Source organism: Homo sapiens, chromosome 8 (assembly GCF_000001405.40).
Source record: "Homo sapiens chromosome 8, GRCh38.p14 Primary Assembly".
NCBI classification, from domain to species: Eukaryota; Metazoa; Chordata; class Mammalia; order Primates; family Hominidae; genus Homo; species Homo sapiens.
Genome location: NC_000008.11, coordinates 51,089,913 through 51,091,795, shown reverse-complemented (window position 1 = coordinate 51,091,795; position 1,883 = coordinate 51,089,913). Strand labels below are relative to the sequence as shown.

The 1,883-nt window shown below is 36.7% G+C and overlaps 1 annotated feature.

Moving 5' to 3' along the window:
• Positions 413-1,386: an enhancer, noted in NCBI's record as "OCT4-NANOG hESC enhancer chr8:52002970-52003943 (GRCh37/hg19 assembly coordinates)". NCBI's record gives its function as "activates a minimal SCP1, AML or CMV promoter by ChIP-STARR-seq in naive H9 embryonic stem cells {active_cell/tissue: H9 hESC(naive)}" and the evidence as "EXISTENCE:reporter gene assay evidence [ECO:0000049][PMID:30033119]".

The window sequence follows — 1,883 nt, the reverse complement described above, 5'->3', positions numbered from 1 at the left end:
CCAGAGTCATATGGGGATCTTATTTGGATCTTTACAGTGAGAAGCTGGTGTGTTCCTGGAGATAAAGCCCTGGAAAGTGCAACTGGCTCTCTGAGACTGCAGCTCCCAGAAGCTTCTCACCCTCACACTAGACCACATCCAGCCTCCTGTGATTCGTCACAATTACTGTTCCAGGGCTTGTACCAGTTAATGGCTCCAGCACTCCTGCTCCAGGTAAACAGATCTGTTTCTGTATCTCTCTGGATGTGTCTGTCTCTTCAGATTTCAGGGTGTCATTTTCCCCTCCAACTTCAGTTTTCTGATTGGCCCAATAAAATCATAAAACTTCATTTTGTTCTTTTGTTGTTGTTGTTATAAAGATAAGAGTGACTCCTGTTAAGCTCTTTACATGTCAAAGCTAGAACTTAAAAATCCCTTAAATGCATTATTCTAATTCGCAGTTCCGCTTGTAAACCAAAAAGAAAACCCTAAGCTCCCCAACCAGCTGAGTGGACTTCTTATGGGCCAAGGGAAACCTGAAAAACAGAATCCCCAATCATGACAGGAAAGGAGTTTGGACGCACCTCATTATACCCTCTCTCTTTTGGAGTTTAGGCACAACCGACCAGCATTAACATTAACACAGAGATCATGAAACTGATCAAATAGACTCTTTGTGGCAATAAGACACTAAATTCCAAGTTGACTCTGCTATAGCATCACATGACAAATAGCAGGCCCTGAAGGAAATAAAAGTATTTTACACCAAAATATATTTCTTGGACATATTTTGAAATGGCCCCCACTTCTGGGGTAAATTTGCATCTGTAGAAAATCCCCTTCCCTTTCTAGTTCTTTCCTGGATTTAGGAGAGATTTAACTAGGTTCTGATACACTTTAAGGTCTCAAAAGAGACATTTACCACCTATTCTTTCTGAAGTCAGATACTTAGAGGCTTCATCTACATAACAAGAACTGTGGCTTCCTCAAAACCCCTTATCTTAACTCAAGCATGTCTTTCTAGTGACTTCCTAAGTCTTTAGACAAAGCTTATCTCTCTCAACCAATTGTTAGTCAGATAATCTTTAAATCCACCTATAACCTGTGAGCCCCTCCATCAAATTCACGATATCCCATCTCTTTAGACTGAACCAATGTATACCTTGTATGTATTTATCTATGTCTTTGCCTGTAACTTCTGTCTCCCTAAAATGTATAAAGCCAACTGTAACCAAACAACCTTGAGCACACATTCTTAGGACCTTTTGGGACTGTGCTTGGACCATGGTTACTCATATTGACTCAGAATAAACATCTTTAAATATTTTACATAGTTTGGCTTTTAACATCAATACCCTTAATATACATTTTTTAGTTGTTTTCTTAGTTTATGCCCTGGGGACCCCAATTAGTATTTAAACATAAAACAATCAAAAACATTTTCTTCCTTACTATGCATATTTAGTAAGTGAGGAGATCCAAATTTCAGTACCTTAAAATTAATTAAAATAGTATGAATATTAAAATTTAACGACCAGACTATATTAAAGATTGATATAATAATGAAGATAGTTGAAGCTGGTTTATAATTCATTTTCTTTAAACCTTTTTCCTATTTAGAAAAGAAAAAGTACAGTTCACGGCCAGTGTTCATTTAATTTTACATAAACACACTCTTTGAGGCTGAAGCAAATCTGACTGATTTTCAACATGAAAATAAAATATAACAGCTGTTCTTGGAGTTATTTCTAAACAGAACTAATAGCAGAATTGTCTGAATCATCAGAATTGCCTATTTTGGAAAAACTGAATTCATCAAATGAATCTTCAGCCAGCAACTGTTTGAGAACTCATGAGTAAGAATGCTATGTTTTCTAGGATTTGGCATTTTCAGCAACCCAGAA